At 45.6% G+C, this 19,483-nt stretch overlaps 1 protein-coding gene across 15 annotated transcripts in view; it reads left to right on the forward strand.

Moving 5' to 3' along the window:
• The window catches only part of FAM120B (family with sequence similarity 120 member B), a 116,365-nt gene that overhangs the window by 66,661 nt on the left and 30,221 nt on the right, over positions 1-19,483 (forward strand). For 5 of the 15 annotated variants that reach the window (NM_001286379.2, NM_001286380.2, NM_032448.3 and 2 more), the window contains one exon: positions 863-955. The exons of 2 other annotated variants lie outside the window; for them this stretch is intronic. In NM_001286379.2, the coding sequence (NP_001273308.1) occupies positions 863-955 (93 nt within the window). Of the gene's footprint in view, positions 1-862; positions 1,058-14,171; positions 14,857-18,267; positions 18,365-19,483 lie in introns of those variants that run through there. 8 more of the 15 variants (XM_024446570.2, XM_017011358.3, XR_002956306.2 and 5 more) reach the window with 7 other exon arrangements.

Below are 19,483 nucleotides of genomic sequence, written 5' to 3' on the forward strand. Positions count from 1 at the left end.
ACCGTCCGTGTCTTCCCCGCTCTTCACGCCCTCTCCTTATCTCCATCATCTACTCCACACCAAGCAGTGTTCAGTCTGTCCTTTGCTGTCTCTTGTTCCTCTGTCCCTCCTTCCTTTTCTCACTTTTGCTGCATCTTGATTCCACAGAGGATTAGTAGGGTCTCATATTGTGGGTTCTGATTTACTCTCAACTAGGATTCGAGGACACAGGTTTCCTCTAGGTTGCCAAAAGTGGATGATGACCCCAGCTCAGCCCAGCTGTGGATATTCGCTCTCTGAAAACCCCTGAACTGTTTGCTCTGTGCAATTTGTCCCAAACGTGATCAACTGTCTGGCTCTAAGACCTGGTCTTGGTTGGCACCTCATGATTATTCCCAGATGTTCTGCGGAGTTTTGCCTTGTTAGAGTCTAACCTGACTAGAAATTCAGGCTCCCCTTCCAGCTGGGCTGTGAGTTGTGTGCACAACTGGGGACACCATAGAGAGAGCTTCACAGCCAGGAGCCAAGGATGGTGTGAAGAGGCTGTGCTCTTTCCACCTGCATACTGTCTGCTGCCTGAGGTCTGATGCACCATGTGTGTGCCTGTGCATGTGCCTGTTTGTGCACCTGTGCGTGTGCCTGTGTGTACACCTGTGTGTGTACATGTGTGCCCATGTGTGTGTGCATGCCTGTGCGTGTACCCATGTGTGTGCACCTCTGTGTGCTTGTGTGCACATGTGGGTGCCTGTGCGTGTGCCTGTACGTGCCTGTGTGTGCATGTTTGCGCCTATACACACACTCATAGTTAATAACTGAGATCAATTTGTAAGAAATGTTTAATTTTTCCTGTAGCCTAACACTGGCCTTTCTCTGTCCTTTTCAGGTGGACACGCTTTGCCTGGAGGATTTGCATGCGTTTATTGCGCAGGCCTTGTGCCTCCAAGGAAAATCCACCTCGCAGCTTGTAAATCTACAGGTACAGACGTGACCAGTTAGTTGTCACTGCCCGGAAGACAGCTGTGCAGTCCAGCCTTCTCTTTCCCATTATAGTTGAAGTTTCACAGAAAAGATCAGGAAGGTATTTTAGTCAGGATCTTTTCGTGATGCAGTAGTTTGTCTTCGTCTCTTTAATGGCTCTGGGATGAGCAGCCAGATGAGGTACTAATAGGTGCTGCCTCAGTTCCAGTTTTGTGAAACTTGTAGTTCTCAATACTGCCTTTATAGGCTAGTGATTTGAAGAGAATAGGTTATGTGGTTCTCTATAAACCTTATTAATTTCTGGTGTTAGCAGTTTTGGCCCTCCCTTGGCCTGCCTCCCAGATGGCTGCTGGCTGAAGGGTGGGGCCGCCTGGCACCTTCCTGGATCCCTCCTGGCGCGTTGGCTGTGGCAAGCGTTCAGTAAAGAACTTCATATGAGGGAGAGGGTACACCTCAGCTGGGAGATCCGCAGCCTCTATTGTTTGTATTCAGACATGCCCTCCGGGAGTGCTTATTTCTTTAATTTCACAAAATGGCCCAATCACAGCTAAGTTCCACAGCTCTCCTCTGTGGCTGCACACTTGTGGACCTGGGTACTGGGTGTTGTTTCCTGTTAGAATATCCCAAGGTCAAGTCACCTGTGGATGGAATCTTAAAATTCTGCTTTATCAATGCCATCTGATCGTGGTTATTGGTTTATCCATAGCTGTAGTTTAGTTGCATTCGTTTTACTTGTTTTTCTAATGGAAAAAACTAAGTTTCATTTATAAATGGCTTTTACTCAAACCTCACAACTTAGGCCGGGTGCAGTGGCTCACGCCTGTCATCCCACCACTTTGGGAAGCCGAGGCGGGTGGATCACCTGAGGTCAGGAGTTCCAGACCAGCCTGGCCAACATGGTGAACCCTCATCTCTACTAAAAATACAAAAATTAGCCAGGTGTGTGCCTGTAATCCTAGCTACTTGCAAGGCTGAGGCAATAGAATCGCTTGAAACTGGGAGGCAGAGGTTGATGTGAGCTGAGATCGTGCCATTGCACTCCAACCTGGGCAACAAGAGCGAAACTCTGTCTCAAAAAAAAAAAAAAATCACCTCACAACTTATTTTTTTTTTGGTGTTAAGACTCACTCTGTTGCCCAGGCTGGAATGCAATGGCTCAGTCCCTGCTCACTGCAACCTCTGCCCCATAGGCCCAAGTGAGCCTCCCACCTCAGCCTCCTGGGTAGCTGGGACCACAGGCATGCACCACCCTGGCTAATTTATATGTGTGTGTGTACATGTGCGTGTACATGTGTGTGTGTGGAGACGACATCTCATTATGTTGCCCAGGCTGGTCTCAGACTCCTGGGCTCAAGCCATCCTCCCGCCTGGGCCTCCCAAAGTGCTGGGATTATAGGTGTGAGCCACCACACCCGGCCACAACTTTCAATACTAGGTTTCATTCATAAACTAATTCTCATAGCATAGCAGTCCAACTAATGAACAATGCCAGATTTTTTTTTGTATTAGAAATTTCATAGCATCAGTATCCAAAAAGTGGCCTTTTTTTCCTCCATTAAGCAAAAACAGAATTTTAAAATGTTAATTTTAAGTTATCAGTAGGTTAATGTGCATTCTTCACGCCGAGCGGCAGCCCTGGCCTCCCTCCTGGGCCCTGGTTGTGGCTGCCATTGGCTGTGGGTGTTTGTAGCAGCTGCTGAGCCATTTCCATTATAGTCTGGGGGCCTCACCTGCTCCCCTCTTCCCTGTCAGAAGAATTAAACAACAAGACAGAAGTATTACAGAAAGGAACCCTGGGTCCTGTTCTCTGGTCCTAGGCCATGTGGGCAACATAGCACTGGAGTCTGAGAGTCACACAGATGAGGGAGCTGGGTCTACCCTTCACCAGCTATGGGGTCTTGAGCAGGTTCTTAAGGACATACGGCAAGTAACCAAACTTCTGTGTGCCTCAGTGTCCTCTCATTTGTAAAATGAAGAAACCAAGATTTAAATGCAGCAGAAGGTGTACTGTTCTTCGTAGGCATTTAGTGCATTCGATCTTCGTTTCCACACCCCGTGGATGTGCACACCCTTGCCATGTTGTAATTGGCAAGGCTAAAGTAGAGCCAGGCTTTTGACACCCTGTCCGGGGTTCTGGCCATGCTGCCACTTTCCATGAGAAAGACATGATTAAATAAAGATGCTGTAGAAAAAGGTTGGTTTTAAAAGCACTCCCATAAGTACGCAGCCATCACACAGAGGCCACTTCCCCTCAGCCATCCACTCAGCAGCACTGGCGTATACAAACGTAGCAGAGACTTGTCCCATGCTTCTAGTTCTGTTCTGTTAGAAGTGGGACCTGTGCCAATTATTATTAATCATTGGTTCCTTCTGAGAATTGTGACTGGGCAGCTTGTGATCCCTGAGGTCACTTAGGAAAATGCTTCCACAAGGAGGGCGTTTTTTCTAACAAACCATGGCACTAAGAACAGAAAGTGAGTTTCGTTCATCTCCCCACCAGCCAAGGACTGGCTTGAAATCCTAGGTAGGGCAGAGTCACCACTCAGCAGCCCTGCTGGCTCCCTCCTGTGAAAGGTGGAGATGTGGTTTGGGGAAGGAGTTGGGTCCAGGTGCAGCCTCCCCACAGCCTGACTCTGTTCTGACTGCTTCACGTTGCAGTCGTATTGCATTGGGAGTTCGCAGTGGCTTTCTCAATAATGAGCTAATTGAGCCACAGAGGTGTGTGCCCTGGTGTCACCAGCCACTGTTGGGTAGGTGGCTCTTCTGGCAGTGGGTAAGTCACTGTTGCTCATAGTGAATTTTAAAACACCCTATTAGTTCTTTGCCCAACATTACTTTCCTACTCAAATATAGCCTTAAAACTATATATATATACGTGTATATATATATATATATATATATATATATATATATATACACGTATATATATATATACGTGTATATATATAGTTACATACATATTAAAAATTTAGGTGACTGGATTATATGTGTAAAGGTGCATAGTACATATTTATGTATATACACATTCATTTACCTACATAGAAATACATAAGAATACAAGAACCCTTAACCTGCAATAATGTTATAAGTAAAGGAAAGAAGAAAGAAGGAAAGCAGTATTACTTACAGTTTAAGAAAACCAAAACATGACTTTTAAAAGTAAAGGACAAAGGATAGTTGTGCACGTGACGGGAGGCTGCTGTTTTCTGGATACCAAGGACAGGCCTGTGAGCAGAAATGATGGCAGTTGTTTTCCCTTTGTAGTTAGGTCTCTGAGTGCCAGTTATGTGTTTGCCAGTTTTCCTATTCATGTCTGTAACTTTCAGTGTGAGCTTCTAGTGTATGGTTCTAGAGAACATACCTGCTCGACTGAACTTTGAATAGGACATGTGATCCTTCATACATAGTGTGTACAACCCTTGTGATCATACATACACATACGTATAGATGTATGTAGGATTTAAGTTAGAATCTTTCTTTTTTAATTTTTTGAGACAGAGCCTCGCTCTGTTGCCCAGGCTGGAGTGCAGTGACGTGATCTCAGCTCACTGCAACCTCCACCTCCTGGGTTCAACTGATTCTCATGCCTCAGCCTTCTGAGTAGTTGGGATTCCAGGCACACACCACCACACCCGGCTAATTTTTGTATTTTTGGTAGAGACAGGGTTTCACCATGTTGGCCAGGCTGGTCTTGAACTCCTGACCTCAAGTGATCTACTCACCTCAGCCTCTGAAAGTGCTAGGATTATAGGTGTGAGCCACCACATCTGACCAGAATCTCTTTATAGTACAGAAGTAAAGTAAATTAAGCAATAGGCTGAATTATATTATGGACCAGTAAATTGTGAGGTCTCCCTCTTCAAACAACTTGAAGGGGGGAGGTAGAGACAGGGCAGAAGAGGACATGAACTCTGGCACCCTCAGTACCCTGCTTATTGATGTGACAGGAGGAATGTTTCTGTGGACATTCAAGGTTATGGATCACTCTCCTGTTGCCATCCAGCTCTCCACAGCTGGTGCCCTTGTGGGCCTGGAGTCCAGCATCCTGGTTCAGGCTTCTGTCTGCAGTCAGTGGGCATACCATGTACTGTCTAGGAATGTGGAAAGAGGTATAATTGTCTACCTGCCACTCTCCCAGTGTTCTGTAAGAATCTGATACAGGCCCAGATCATTTTGTAAAGTCCTCTGTAGAACACGATGCCATGGTTGCCGTTATTCTCTCATTGAGCAGAGTGGAGTGTGTACTACGTATACTGCCGTGGGTCCAGGCCCAGTGTGTGCACTCACATGGTGTGTGCTCAGAAGTCATTTTGCTCTCATCCCAGGGTGCAATAATAATAATAATTTGTTTTCTTTCTTTTTTCTTTTTTTTTTTTTTTGAGACAAGGTCTGGCTCTGTTGCCCAGACTGGAGTACAGTGGTACAATCTTGTCTCACTGCAATCTCTGCCTCCCAGGCTCAAGCCATCCTCCCACCTCAGCCTTCCTAGTAGTTGGGACTACAGGCGCACACCACCATGCCTAGGTAATTTTTGTATTTTTTTTTTGAGAGATGGGGTGTTGCTATGTTGCCCAGGATGGTCTCGAACTCCTGAGCTCAAGCAATCCTCCTGCCTCAGCCTCCCAAAGTTCTGGGATTACAGGCAGGAGCCACCACCGTGGCAATGATGATTTTATAAATGAGCTCTTGCTCTCTTTTTGGAGAAAAAGCCGAGAAATTCCTCTGCCTTTCTTTGCCCCATCAGTTTATCTTTGCCGTGTCAGGGCTCTGAAAGCCACAAAACCATCACCCCTCCTCCTGCTGGCTTTGTCTCCAGCCCGCTCTCCAGGTGGAGGCTCTGACTGTTAGGGAATTCTGGCTCCGTCTCTTACACACTGAGAACTCCATGAGCTGGTACCTTAGCCACTTTTTCTAGTGCCTCATAGCTAATCATTGGGAAGTTCTTGGTCATTTTTTGGTTGGAAAATTAAAAGGAAAAGATGTGAGTTGATGAAAGATAAAATTTTACTATAAAATTCAAGCCATCTTCTTAAGATTCCCCTGCATGTGGCTGCCTCGTACCCACCGCTGTCCCTGGTGTGCATGGCGAGTGCAGCAAGTCACACCTGTGTCAGCAGCATCGTCCTCTGCCTTGTACAGCACAGCTTGGCCTGGGGCCTGCTGGGGCGCTCAGAAAACAGCAAGCTGTGTGTGCTGTGTTTGTTAACATAGAGTGTGATGACTGATCATTGTCTATGCCAGTAGCAGCTTTTAGTGAAAATACAGGTCCCAGGCAAGGCCTGAAGCCCCAGTTTTTACTTTATTTTGATTACAGGATCATAACAATAAAGTAATTCTGGATCTCCATTTCCTTGGTAATCACTGTGCTGTGATAGTGTGTGCACCAGCGAAACATGGCATTCCTACAGTGAGATTATATCAAGAAAGCACTTATTAAACATCATGTTTTATTTTGTTTTTTTTAGACAGAGTCTCACCCTGTCACCCAGGCTAGAGTGCAGTGGCGCGAACTCAGCTCACTGCAACCTCAGCCTCCCGAGTAGCTGGGATTACGGGCATGCACCACCACACCCAGCTAATTTTTGTATTTTCAATAGAGATGGGGTTTTACCATGTTGGCCAGACTGGTCTGGAACTCCTGACCTTCAGTGATGGGCCTGCATCAGCCTCCCACAGTGCTGGGATTACAGTCATGAGCAGCCACGCCCAGCCAAAACATAATTTTTTAAAAATGTGTTTTGTTTTTTTGGGATGTGGCTATGTGCTGGTGATTTGTGCTGCATTTCCCCTTGTTCAGTCACTGAGAGAGATGCCTGCCCCTTCCATTGCATGAAGTCACTGAAGCAAAGGCTGAAAAATGCCCAACTTCCATATCCAGGGGCCCTGAGTCTCCTCCACCTTCTCCGACCTCTTCTCCTTTGAGCCTGCGATGTCCCTTTTATTTATCTTTGTTCAGCAGCACCTTTCACACTGTGGGCCTTGTTCTGAATCCACATGCCAAGTCACTATCCCAGAGTCCTGGCTAGGTTGGTCTGGTGTGTGTTCTGAGGGGGACTCGTGGGTGAGAAGCCAGAGTGTCCCACTTAGGGTTTTCAGTTTCCCTTCTCTCCTAGACTAATGCCCCTTTGAGGAAAGGGACAGTGTTCTTGCTCCTCTTTATTTTCCAGCACCCAGCATCCTGCCAACATTGATTAACTTCATTAAATGGATACCTGCAATTTAAAAGTATACATGAGCATTTGCTGAGACAGGCAGAGTCTGTCTGGTTCAGCAAAGTGTTTGTGCAAATACAAAGCAGGTGTCTAGACAAAGCCCCATCTTTGCAGAGCTCCCTCTGACACCTCTCTCTGGGGTTCTCTACAATTCTAGTCTCAAGAGCTGATGGGGGCACTTGGGACAGGGATGCCTGGGGGCCCTTCAGAGGCTGGTGCTGCTGAAACACAGATGCTGGCATGCCTTTCTTTCCTCCCCAAGATCATCCTCTTCAGATAACTGTGGTGGCGTTTTCATTTCTCACCCCTCTGTTACCTGGAAATGCTATGAGCTTGTAGATTGCAGTGGTGAGTGAGACCTACAGTTGGTGAAGCTAAAAGCCCTTTCGTACATGTTCATATAGATGACCATGGGATGATTTTCTGATTCACTGGATTGACTTCTGGGTTGAAAAGCAAAGCTAGGGCTCTGGAGTTTACAACATCAGAATGAGAGGAGGAGAGGATGGGGCAGAGTGCAGAAAAGGGCGTGGTGTGCCTGGGGCACGTACTCCTGCCGAAACCCCCAGTCAGGCTGAGCCCTAGGCCATCTCCTGTCTCCTACAGCTCCCTCCTGGCACTTTACCCACATGGAATTGAATACGTATTTGTGTGTGTGTGAAGGTGGTCAGACTTTGAGCCCACTTGGATTTTCTGAGACCAAAATGTCATAAACCAAGGCTAATGAGAGGCTTATGTCTGAACATGGAGGACGAGGATTCATGCTGGCTGTGGGGATTTCTCAAGACGGTGGCAGAAAAGAGTCTAGGTTCATCTGCTGCTTGGTCTGCAGGGTTCCTTCTCGCCTTACTAGGGATGACAGCTGTGGTCTATGTCATGCATTCTTGGCTGTTTGAAACTAAAGTTGTGTCTTGGACTTCACCCTTTGGTTTTGCCCCTTGTTCTCAAATAATGTCCACCTGAAGAAAGAGGTTGCAGACAGTGCTTTTGATGATAGCAGATGCTGAAGCATGAACCCATGGAGGAAAGAATTGCCCAGGAAAAAAGCCCAGATGTTTTCTGTTCGTGAACTAGATGTGTCCTCCTGAGGGAATTCAAATCAAAGAGTTGGCAAAACTGGGTGGTGGCAGTGGTAGAGAGGCATGAGCACGGGCCTCCTGACACACACACACACCCCTCCCTCCCCCCCCTCCCCCCTGCCAGGCTGCCTGGAGCAGGGCTCGGCCCCTGACACCCCGCCTCCCCCACAGGCTGCCTGGAGCAGGGCTCTGCTGGAATCACGGAAGGAACACACACCCTTTTTGAGACTATCAGAATTGCAAAGCCTGGCCAGTTGGTGCAAGTGTTTATCCGCCTGCCATCACCATCGGGTGGGGTGGTCTGTGACAGGCTCAGCAGGTGTTGGTAAAAGGACCCTTGGCCAGAAATGCAAAGGGGACAGAGCAGGAACTCCTCACAATCATAACAGCAGTGAGCTGTTTCTTGTTCTCTGTGGGAAAATGCTTGGAGCCTAAGTCTTGTACGAAAAAATAGATAAATAAGCAAAATGTAGACTCAGTGGCATTCTGTCATTCAGTGGCATGTTGCACATCCAGACTCTCAAGATATAATACAAGTTTCTCTGCAGCTGTTGGGAGGTGGCACTAAATCGTTGTTCTTGGGAGTTAGATTCTGCTGCCTGAAAGCTGAAAGGGAAGCAAAGGCCTCCCCAGTTATCCTGGTGAGACGAGAGCTTGGTGTGTGGGGAGCTGAGAGCTGGGACTCATGGGTGGGGGAAGCGGTTAGGTTCTGGCCAGTTGCCTTGGCAGAGCCTTGCTGGCTCCTAGGAAAGAGTAGGAGTCTCTCCATTGCATCTGGGAAGTGGGGGTGGCCGGGAAGGGGAATGGCAAGTGGGGAGGGGCAGGCAGCTGAGTCTATTTGGCTGGACCTGTGCTCTGAGGGGCAGGTGCCAGGGCATGAGGGAGAGTGGCGTGTGAGCGCACCTGAGTGGGGTTCCCCTGGTGGCCTACACCCGTCAGGGGCCCATGTCACCCACAGGAGGGGAAGCTTCACTTGGGAGGTGAGGGGTGGAGTGGAGAGAGCTCAGGGCCAGCATGGTCTCTGGTGTGGGGTGAATGGGGGTTGAGAGGAGCCAGCGAAGGCTTAGAGGGTGAAAGACTAGGTGAGGCGTAGCCAGGGACAGCAGGCTGTTGAGAAGAACATTGTGACATTATCCAACAAATGAGTACTTTGTCGGCATGAGTACACAAAGTGAACAGTGTTCTGGGCCTTGATCTTCCCCTAGTCCTGTTGATTATGGCCTCAGGTCAGGACACACACACTCACCGCCCTGCCCAGCCTCGGATAAGCTCATGTTATTTTTTAGATTTTTTTTTTCTCTTTCTTGTTGCCATATTCATATTCAGGACTTTGATGAGAGAAGAATGAGGTAGAACATGCTCATTGCATCTGAGCCCACACTGCTTTGATCCTTTTCTTCTCACCAGAAACAGTTCATTAACCTAGAATAAGTCACTTTTAAGCTTGTTTTAAATTGTGACAATTCTGATTTAAACAAATTTTTCTTTTTAGGTTAGCTATAAAACTCACCAGTAGAAGTTGAAAATAAAAATAATTCTATGCCATTGAATCTCCAAATGATATTTTTATTTTGCTACAAATTAATGAAACTTTAAATGATAATGATACTCTCACTTTGTCAAAAGCTTCAACCAGGGGTTACCAGACTATCGCCCATAGGCCACATTCCGCCACCAGCATGTAGTGAAGCCTGTGAGCTAAGAATGGTGTTTGTTTCTAAATGGTTAGGGAAAAAGTCAAAAGAATAATATTCCATGATGTGAAAATTACATGAAACGCAAATTTCTATGTCCGAAATGGTTTTCTTGGCACATAGCCATGCTCAGTCATTTGCAGCTGCCTTTGCCCTGCAACAGCAGAGTTGAACGGCTGCGAGAGACATCATATGGCCCACAAAGCCAAAAGTGTTTCCATCTGGCTCTTTCCAGAAGAGCGTGCTGACCCTTGGCTGGAGCCAGCAGGTAAGTCCGCGGGGAGACGGCAGGATGGGGAGCCCCATGCTTTTGTCTCTGTGCCCCTCCTGCAGCCAGGTCTGCACGCACACACAGTGACAGTAATAACCCCATGCGTGAATGTAGCAAGTTTTAAAGACATTAGAGGGCTTTGGTAGTTAGTTTTCATGTCATTCCTTTGAGGTAATTAAGTCCTATCTTATTCTTAGAAAAATGAAGATATAATTATGTGTCTTGGCATTGGTCCTTATAAAGGAGCTGAAGTGAGGATATAAATTCCCTGACTCTTGGTTCCACTTCCACCTAATTCTCCTACACAAAGACCCTCGCCATGATAAAACCTGGATTTGGGAGTCTGTAGGGGTAGGGCTGTGGCTGACTCACATGGATCTCCTCACACCTATTAGGGGGCCTTACAAGCATCAAGTGCCTTTTTAAGATGAAGTCATGTTTCCAGTTGACATAATAATTGTGCATATTTATGGGGTACAGTGAAATGTTTCAATATGCATGTATGTTGTGTGATTTAATATTGAAGTGTAATGTTGCCTGTTGGTTCAGAGCACAGTGGTACCTTAGAGACAGTTCAGTCAAGCACTTTTGTCTTATAGACCAGGGTTTTAGGCTCAGATTAGTGGAACGGTTTGCACCAGGTCAAGGTATAGTGCATGTCTGAGCTGATCAAAAGGCCAAGGTTCCGAGTTCCACCATGCACTCCCTTTACTTCCTGTCTTCTCACCAGACAGTGAGACACCTCTAAAGTGATAAGCAGGTATGCCATGTGTCAAAAGCAGATTTAGAAACCTTCTCATAAAAGATCTTTACTCAGTGCTGCTCTTGGTGAATTCTCACTTTACAAATTGAATATTTTTCTGTAGGCAGAATCAAAATGCTTTGAAGACATAATGAGATCAAGCCGTTAAGATGGCGCTTTACCGATTAAATCCCTAAGACAACCATGAAAATACAGGATTGTGTAATATGTTTTCAAGGAGATATTTACAAAAATGTTTTTACTTCCCTACACAAGTTCACAGAAGAAATACAATTTTTAAAGAAGGAAAAATGCTTTCATTATTGGGCACTCAATAAAAATTTGGTGAATGAATGAATAGTAGATGTACTGGTCAGTTTGGGCTGCCATAACAAAACACCACGGACTGGGTGGCCTAAAACCACAGACATTCCCTTCTCAGTGTTTTGGAAACTTGATGTCCAAGATCCATGTGCCAGCAGCTCTGCTGTCTGCCGGGGCTGGGGGGGGGGCTCCCTCCTGGCTTGCAGGCAGCCAGTTTCTCACTATGTCCTCATAGGTTGGAGAGCAGAGAGCAGTCTCCTGAGGGCACTCACCTGCTTTGGTAGGGTGCCCCCCACCCCCCCACCATGAGCCAATCAGCTCTCATAGGCCCCCACCTCCAATTACCATCCCATTGGGGATTTAGCCTTCAGCATAAGAAATTTTGGAAGGACGTATTTGCCCGTAGCAGTAGAAATAGAAATCTTGAATGTTTTACTGGGCTTCTGTAAACACAGAAGATGACTGATGAGTCCCTCAGCAGCTTAAATGAGATAAGATAGAAATGAACAAAGCAAAAGAAAGCAAATGAACAAAGCAAAAGAAATTAGTATTCATATTTTTCCTCACTTTTATTCTCTCTTGTGCACATAGACTTTCCAGTATTTATCCAGAATTTTCACAGGCCAAGAGAGAAGAGAGGTTTGTGGCTGCGTTTGAACCTAGGAAAGGACTTTGAGAACTCAGGATGCCTGGAACCAGCTGTGCAGTGCGTCTGCCTCCTGGACTTGGCAGCAGGGCCCCACTTTCACTGACTTTGCCCATAGTCCTCATAATTGTAGTAGGTGTCTCCTGCTACAGATCTTGATACGTGTTTGAGAAAATGTGATCTCTATGAGGAAGCAAGAAAAGGTAAGAAGGACTATAGCAGAAAGCAGAGAATTCCGAGTCCAGTTTGGAGAGAGTGAGGAAGTCAACTGGAAAGGTCTCTCATGATAAAGGTTCCAGGTGTTGCCAGCAGTGCTGGGGCAGGCCCCGGGGCTGAACCCGCCACTGGATGTAGCCTGTGGCACTCCTCGGGTGACCTTTGCCTCAGCAAACTTAGGGTAGTTTTTTTTTTTTTTTTTTTCCTGCTCCCATACCTGACTCCTAGATAGGAGGTTTCTCTTGTCCTGGAGAATCTTAAGAGAAGTATGTCTATGTTCTTGGAATCAGGAGAGCTCAGTTACTTGGGGGTGGAAACTGAGTCTTTTATAATTTCCATGGAACCTTTGCACCTTGTAGGTACTCAATAATTAATTGTCAGTTTGCTGAATATGTCCATAAATCTTATACTTAAGAGTTTATGCTATAATGCTGGTAGATGGATTTTATCTTCGTGAATAAGAATCTTTCACATGTAACTTATTTTTCTACAGCAGAAGCAAATTTCAGGATGTAATTTCAATTTTACAAAAAATGTACCTTTTTTGAATATAGCAATCTAATTTCTCTTTTAAACCCATTCTGTGAGTCGGCAGAAATTTATCGCAGAGACATTGCAGAGGTGAGACGGAGACTCTCAGTTGCCCTTGAGCTTTCCTGGCCCTGCTCTCTGCACCTCACAGACTTCCCCAGCGGGGCGGCCCCCAGGCCTTGTGTCCTCCTGCTCCCACATGTGCTAAGTGGCACCTTAGGGGGCCCTTGCTGCCCAGACAGTCCATGCAGACCTTTCTTTTCTGAGACGCAGCTACGTCCCCGAGCTCTTTGTGGAAGACAGGGAAAGTGATGGTCTGCTCTAAGATGCCCCAGCCACCTGAGGGTCCATCACCCTTCCTCTGGGGGGTGAGGCAGAGGACCCTGTTTCTGTAGGGCTCCCAGTTTCTCTGTGCCCCTGGCTTCCTCTCGCCTTTCCTGGTTCCAGGAGCTGCTGTCCAGTCGTGCTCTGGAAGATCTGAGTTCTTTGAAGTTCTTCTGGGGGTTAAACCTAAACTCAGAAGCCAGAACTCGGTAATATTACCCTCTGATCCTGTACCTGTCATTGTGGGATGTCCTAAATGACTAAAGAGGGCGGGGCAAGGCAGTAAAGGGGAAGAACAGCAGAACTGCAGTCAGCAGTTCAGATATTACCTCACCGCATTTCTTATAAAGATTCGCCTTCTAACACCTTTAAGGACTTGTTTTCCTTAACATTCTTTTAAACTTGGTTTCTTCCTGTAGCTTTACATGTATAAATACAATTATTCCTATTCTTCATTATGCTGAGGTCTCAGGATGGTTGTGCGTCTCTAACAGACGGGAGATACTGCAGTAGAATTTGCAGCACTTGGCCCTGTGTGCAGGCGGGAGTCAACACTGAGCCACCACCCCACCAAGCAAGAAATGGTGTATATATATCTCAATACGGATGGATGGATAGACAGACATTATTTAGACAAAGTCACATGAACTATACAGTTCACCCATTTAAGGTGTACAATTTAATGGCTCTGAACACAGAGTTGTTGTTCAGCCACAATCAATTTTAGAACCTTTTTGTCACCTCAAAAAGAAACCTCTACCTCTTATGCAGTCTCCCTCCCCCCAGCCCCAGCCCCACACTCCTCAGCCCCTGTCTACCACTCATCCATTTTCTGCCTCTGTAGATTTCTTTGTTCTGAACATTTCATAAACATGACATCGCACAGTTTGTGGCCTTTCGTGTCTGGCATCATTCACTGAGCACTGTGTTTCCCAGGTTCTCAGTGGCTGAGGGTTGTGTGGATGGACGATGTTTTGTTTGTCTGTCATCAGCTGAGAGACACTTGGTAGTTTCACTTTTTGGCCCTGTGAATAATGCTGCTATGAACCTTTCTTTACAAGTGTTTGTGTGGACCTGCTTAGCAATTTCCTTAAATATGTGGAATGACATCCCCCTCGGATGTTAGTAACTAAAGCTTTTCTGTTTTTTTGATATGTACCTTTTGCCATGATAAGAAGCTGTCATTGAATTCAGGAGTTTCAAGAATTGTGTGTAAAAAACATTTGGAATAAAAACCTCCACCTTAAGATGCAAAAGGGTAAAAAAGAAATTCTCCAGAAAGATTAATTGAAGAAAAAAGCAAAAAACATCTCACAGTCAGCACTTGTCAAATGAGGCCTGGTGGTCAGAGCCCCCTCTGTGCTCCTAGCACGTGAGTCTTCAGGAGTCAGGCCTTGAAGAGTGTCTGCCATTCGTTCCGAGACAGGAAGTAAGAGATGATTGGCCAGGAGGCTGCAGCTGCAAGTCCCAAGAGCAGCGCCTGGCGCCAGCTGCCACCCTCAGGCTTGGAGCAGAGAAGAGATGGAAACCAAATAACCGAGGGCCTGGCTCAGGACCTTCACGCAGTTTTCAAGAAATTCATCTTTTCTTGCCGTTTTCCCTGTGTTAAGTGAGTCAGGAAATTGAAAAACAGAAAAAATAAGCGTGAAAGTAGGTAGTTGACTCTCATATTTATTCAGTTATTTTTAAAGAGTTTATCCTACTGATATGAGTAAAATAAAATTTTCGTTAGGAATAATAAGAGCTTATTTTCTATCTAGACATACAGTGTCTTGTTTTGCCATTTGATAAGAACATGGTTCATGCGGTCTGAGTAATTTGTTTACTCTCAGTTTTAATTAAAATTTTTTTTAAGAATGATTTTTTATACTTGATTTAGTCCTAAAAGCTAAGAAAGCCTCAATTCAGGTACTGCTTACATACACTATTTTAATTATATTAATGTTAAAAGAGTGATTAAATCTATTAGGAATCACTGAGATTAGTATTTCAGAGACATCTAATGAAAGCGGTTTGACTAACGTAAATTATTCCAAGATGATGGTAGTATCTACAGGGGCGGGGGGGTGGGATTTAAATTCAGCCTTGCCTGGCTGTGCTCCTGTCTCATCCGGCTCTGTGATTCTTTGAATGTGAGCGCGTTCTTAGAAGATAGTCTAATTTTATGAACTGACAGTTGTAACTCAGAGCCATGCTGTTTCCTTAGGTAAATACTGTGTGGGCTTTTAGACAGCTGTCAGATACAGCATGGGAATCTCAGATGAGTGCAGGTGTTAACTGCAGTGCTGCTGGGTTGGTGGGTTCTGCCCTCATGGAGCATCTTTACCAACATGGGAGGTTTTGGCTCCTCCTGCCCCTGCTAAAGGAGGCTGAGGAGTAGCTGGACATGAGTAGAAGCTGCACTGGCGCTCGCTTACGTTCTGTAAGACTGTGCCCAACTACAATCGGAAGACTTCTAGTGAAGAGAAAGAATTTTAGTTATAAAATCAAACTAGGCCTTTTGGACCAAAGAAAATCAGTTTATTTTTGCTGTTTTGTTTACTAATAAATAACAATGTATTCATAATGTTTTCCCTCTGTTTAGATTTCCGCCAACTTGTAGGACAAGCACCCTGATGAAGCAATATCTGAAACTTAAAATAGCAGTTTTGTTCATACAAGTATCATTTTACATAACTGCCAATAAACCCTAGTAAATGAACCTTCCTTAGCATATAAACACAAAAACAGTTGAGCTGTTTACTGTTCAATATTTACTGTCAGGTTTTAGGAACTTTAAGAACTGGTTTTTCCAGTTTCCTGGTTCCCATCAGATGCCCTGGGACCCTGGACTCTATGGCCTCAGCAGGAAGAGCTCAGCTTTCCTTGTCTTTTATTCCAGAGCACCTTAAACCCTATTTCCAAAATACAGGCTACTTTTATTTACGAATTTTATTCATTGGGTTGGACAAGCCAAAGGCCATACCTTTCAATCATATTGAAGTGGTGATGTGAGCCTTAGACCTGGGGCCAACCCTCTGTCACGCTGACTTGGGCTCCCAGAATGTTCCCTAAATTCCAGAGTTCCTTAGGGAAGGAGAGTCACCAGGTGACTTTCTCTGTTGCTGAAAAGATAACCTCAGATCCTCAGATTTTACTCCTGCAGGCTGTGAAAATGTTCTGTCTCCCAATGTAACTCCAGTTAGCTTAAATTAGTTGTTTTTTCTGTTTGATTAGTAATTTGAAAATTGGTCTTTGTTACCAAGCTTTTCACAAGTCCCAAGGTTACCGCACAGTGTTTTTGGTATGGACCTCCTAACAGAAATTTGCCGAGAAGAGGTGTAATTTACTTTATAAAGCTTACGTTATAATTAGAAAAGTAAAAGCACAAGGCAAACAGGCCTGAGAAGCACTTTTACAGTATATTATCTGGGAAATAAGAATTTTGCAATGAACACACTTTTAAAATAGTATCTTCTGTCTCCCAGACCTCCAGAAGCACAGGAAAAGAGCATAGGTGTTCTTGTTGATGCCGGATATAAATGCCCAGGTACCAAATCACAGAATATGCAAACCCAGCATCCCAGAGCCCCCAGCACCAACATGGTGCTGCTGGCATGCCAGATCATTCCTCAGTTCTACCTGGATTGTTTACACGGTGCTGCTGGCATGCCAGATCATTCCTCAGTTCTACCTGGATTTTTTACCCTCACTTCTGCTTAGAGTAGCAGCAAAAGAAAGCCTTGTTGAGGAAACTGAATGTCTATAAAAAGCATCTTGGGTTAAACTTCCCCTCTGGTCCTGACACCACTCCGCGCAGTAAGTTCTCTGACTTGGCAAGAGCACGTCTCAGGTTGTGTCCTACTGGCTCCTCGCCCCTCAAATCCTCCATTGGTTGTTTTGCCCATTTTGGATTTGATCATATGTGTAATTCTTTGAGGTAGAGAAATAAAAGAGGTAAATTATACGTAAATTGTGAAATGGGAGCATGGAAAGTTTGGTTGACTTTTAGCTTGAATGAACCTGACAGAAGTCGGTGTATTTAGGAAGAACAGGGTGAACTGGTGTGGACCCAGCAAGTTCCATTTCAGCCATTTACTCTGCCCGAGACGAGATCTCATTGCTTCTTGATGCTCTTGCACCAGGAGTTTGCAAGTTCCTGCTTGGAACAGAATTGTTTAATGTTTATTATTGACTCGTTGAGGCTTTCTTTCACTGAAAAACTTACCCACACGTAACACTCGTTCAGAGCACACCCTGACTTCTAAGAATGAACACGTCTTGTCATTTAGGCCAGGTTATTTTCAAGAGCAAACTTTTCAGTTTTCAGTATGGGAAATAATCACCTTTCTTCTTCCCTTCACTCAGTGTTAGTGCCATGAATAGGGCATTGTTGGTCGGGTGTCTGACCCAGGATGGCATCTGTTAGATGAACGGGTGATGTCACTTTACATTCCTAAGGAGTATTCACCTGTCCTTGTTGCAGCATGTCATAGCAGCTTTACCCGTGAAGGGCCGTCAGAGCACATCAGTAGATGATAGTTTGGTGCCATCTGTCTTTATTTCCATTATACTTTAATTTCTTGAGGATAGGACTTCCACATTTGCACTTGGTTCAGTAGTTGTCAGCTGTTGGTGACTGAGCTGAACCAAATCCAGTTCTTCATTGCACAGATGAGATCACCACAACCCACAGAAGTGGCATCACCTGCTTTCAGCCCCTTGGCCAGGTGGTGAGAGAGCTGGGGCTTCCAGTTCAGGGCTCCCTCTGCTGTAACTCAGGGATGGTCCCTAAGCTGGTGGTTAAAGTGTTCATATGAAGTAGGTCCAATCTGTGGTTGTTGCTGTAATCAGTGTGTCAGCACAGAGTTCCGCAATTTCAGTATCTTTCTAAATAACCGACTGTGGAATGTTTGTAATCACACAGCACATAGGCAACAGGGCCTCACAAAGCAAAGGCCTTGTGAAGTCCATTCCTTCAGGGTGGAAACTGACTGTTGGCAAAACACAGTTCTCAGGTTATCTGTTGTTCTTAACAACAAGCGTCTCAGGTCAGGGTAGGCTTATTGTGGTTTGCTTTTGCCTACAAAGGACGTATGTTGAGTAAGAATCTTGGCCTATTACACAGTAAGTTAATAATTGTGTCCTTGCAAATAAGCATTGTGTTCTAAAATGGAATCAGCATATTTCCCTATAAAGACACTTCCACTCATTCATTAATTGAGCAGCCCCAGTTGATAAAGAATCAGTATATCATGTTCTGATATTTAATCAGCAAACTCATTTATTCAGTAGAAATTTGAATTCCTGTGATGTGCCAGACTTGTGAGGAGGGGTACAGAGAAGATATGGCAAGGAGGTCCTTCAGAGAGCTCAGAGTCCTAAGAAAGTAAGTACAGCGGGCGAGAACTGCATAGGAGACGCACAGGGCACGGCGGGATGCAGGGACGAGGGATGGTCCCCGTCTGGGCATAGAAGATGTCTCAGAGACTCCAAGGAGGAAGTGACTTCTGGACTAGATCGATAAAGGGTGGGTAGGATTTAATGAGTCAGAGGTAAGAACAAGGGAAGGAGCGGGACTGTTTGTGAAGAGAGAGCATAGAAATTCCCTGGGGTGTTTGGGAGCCACAGATGGGTGGCCCTAAAAAGGCCAGAGAATTCAGTGAGGAGCCTTGCCCAGATACACGGGGAGCTGTAATGAATTACCTGGGACAGCAGAACTGGAGGTGGAGATGAAGAGAGAGATGGCAGGTCATGTTCAGGAAGTGAAATTGCTAGGCCCTCATCATTATTACAGCATGAGATACAAGGAGGAGGCCCTAGTGTGGTTACTATTTCTCTAGTTCGGGTCTCTAAGGTAGGTTAACAGACAAGGGGAGGAGGTGATGAAGTCAGCTTTGTGAGGACTGTGTATGAGATCTGTTTCCAGACAGATCTGGAAGTGTGAAGCTTGTAAGAGAGTTTGGCATTGAAGATTTGGGAAGCATAAGACATATGTCTTTGTAAATAGATAAGAATGAGGTTCAGTTGAGAGATACACATATAGTGTGATAAGGACAGTAAGCCAAGGGGAATAACACCTTCATTGAAGGACCAGCAGAAAGACAGTGAACACAGAGATCATAGTGTCGAGGAACACGGGGGTGGGGGGGAGGCGGGCAGCGGGGCGTTAGAGGAATGGTAGAGCAGAGAGCGCTGGCATGCGGGGATGACCACGTGCAGCAGAGCGGTATGCAAGAAAAGACCGGTAAGTACCCACTGGGCCTGAACCTTGGTCACTGCTCACCTTGTTGAGAACAATTCCAGGAGATTGGAGGAGCGGAGGCTGATTGGAGTGGTTTGGTTACGGATGAGTGGTGAGGCAGGAGAGACAGTGAGATCATCTTTTGAGGCGTTCGAATGTGAACCGAAAATCTGGACTAGCCAGATGGGAACATGGAGAGGAAGGAGGAGCGCCTGCTTGGTAAGAAATAGAAGTCTGAGTGCTTGGCACAGGGGTTTCGGTAAC

Source organism: Homo sapiens, chromosome 6, assembly GCF_000001405.40.
Source record: "Homo sapiens chromosome 6, GRCh38.p14 Primary Assembly".
In the NCBI taxonomy this organism is placed as follows: domain Eukaryota; kingdom Metazoa; phylum Chordata; class Mammalia; order Primates; family Hominidae; genus Homo; species Homo sapiens.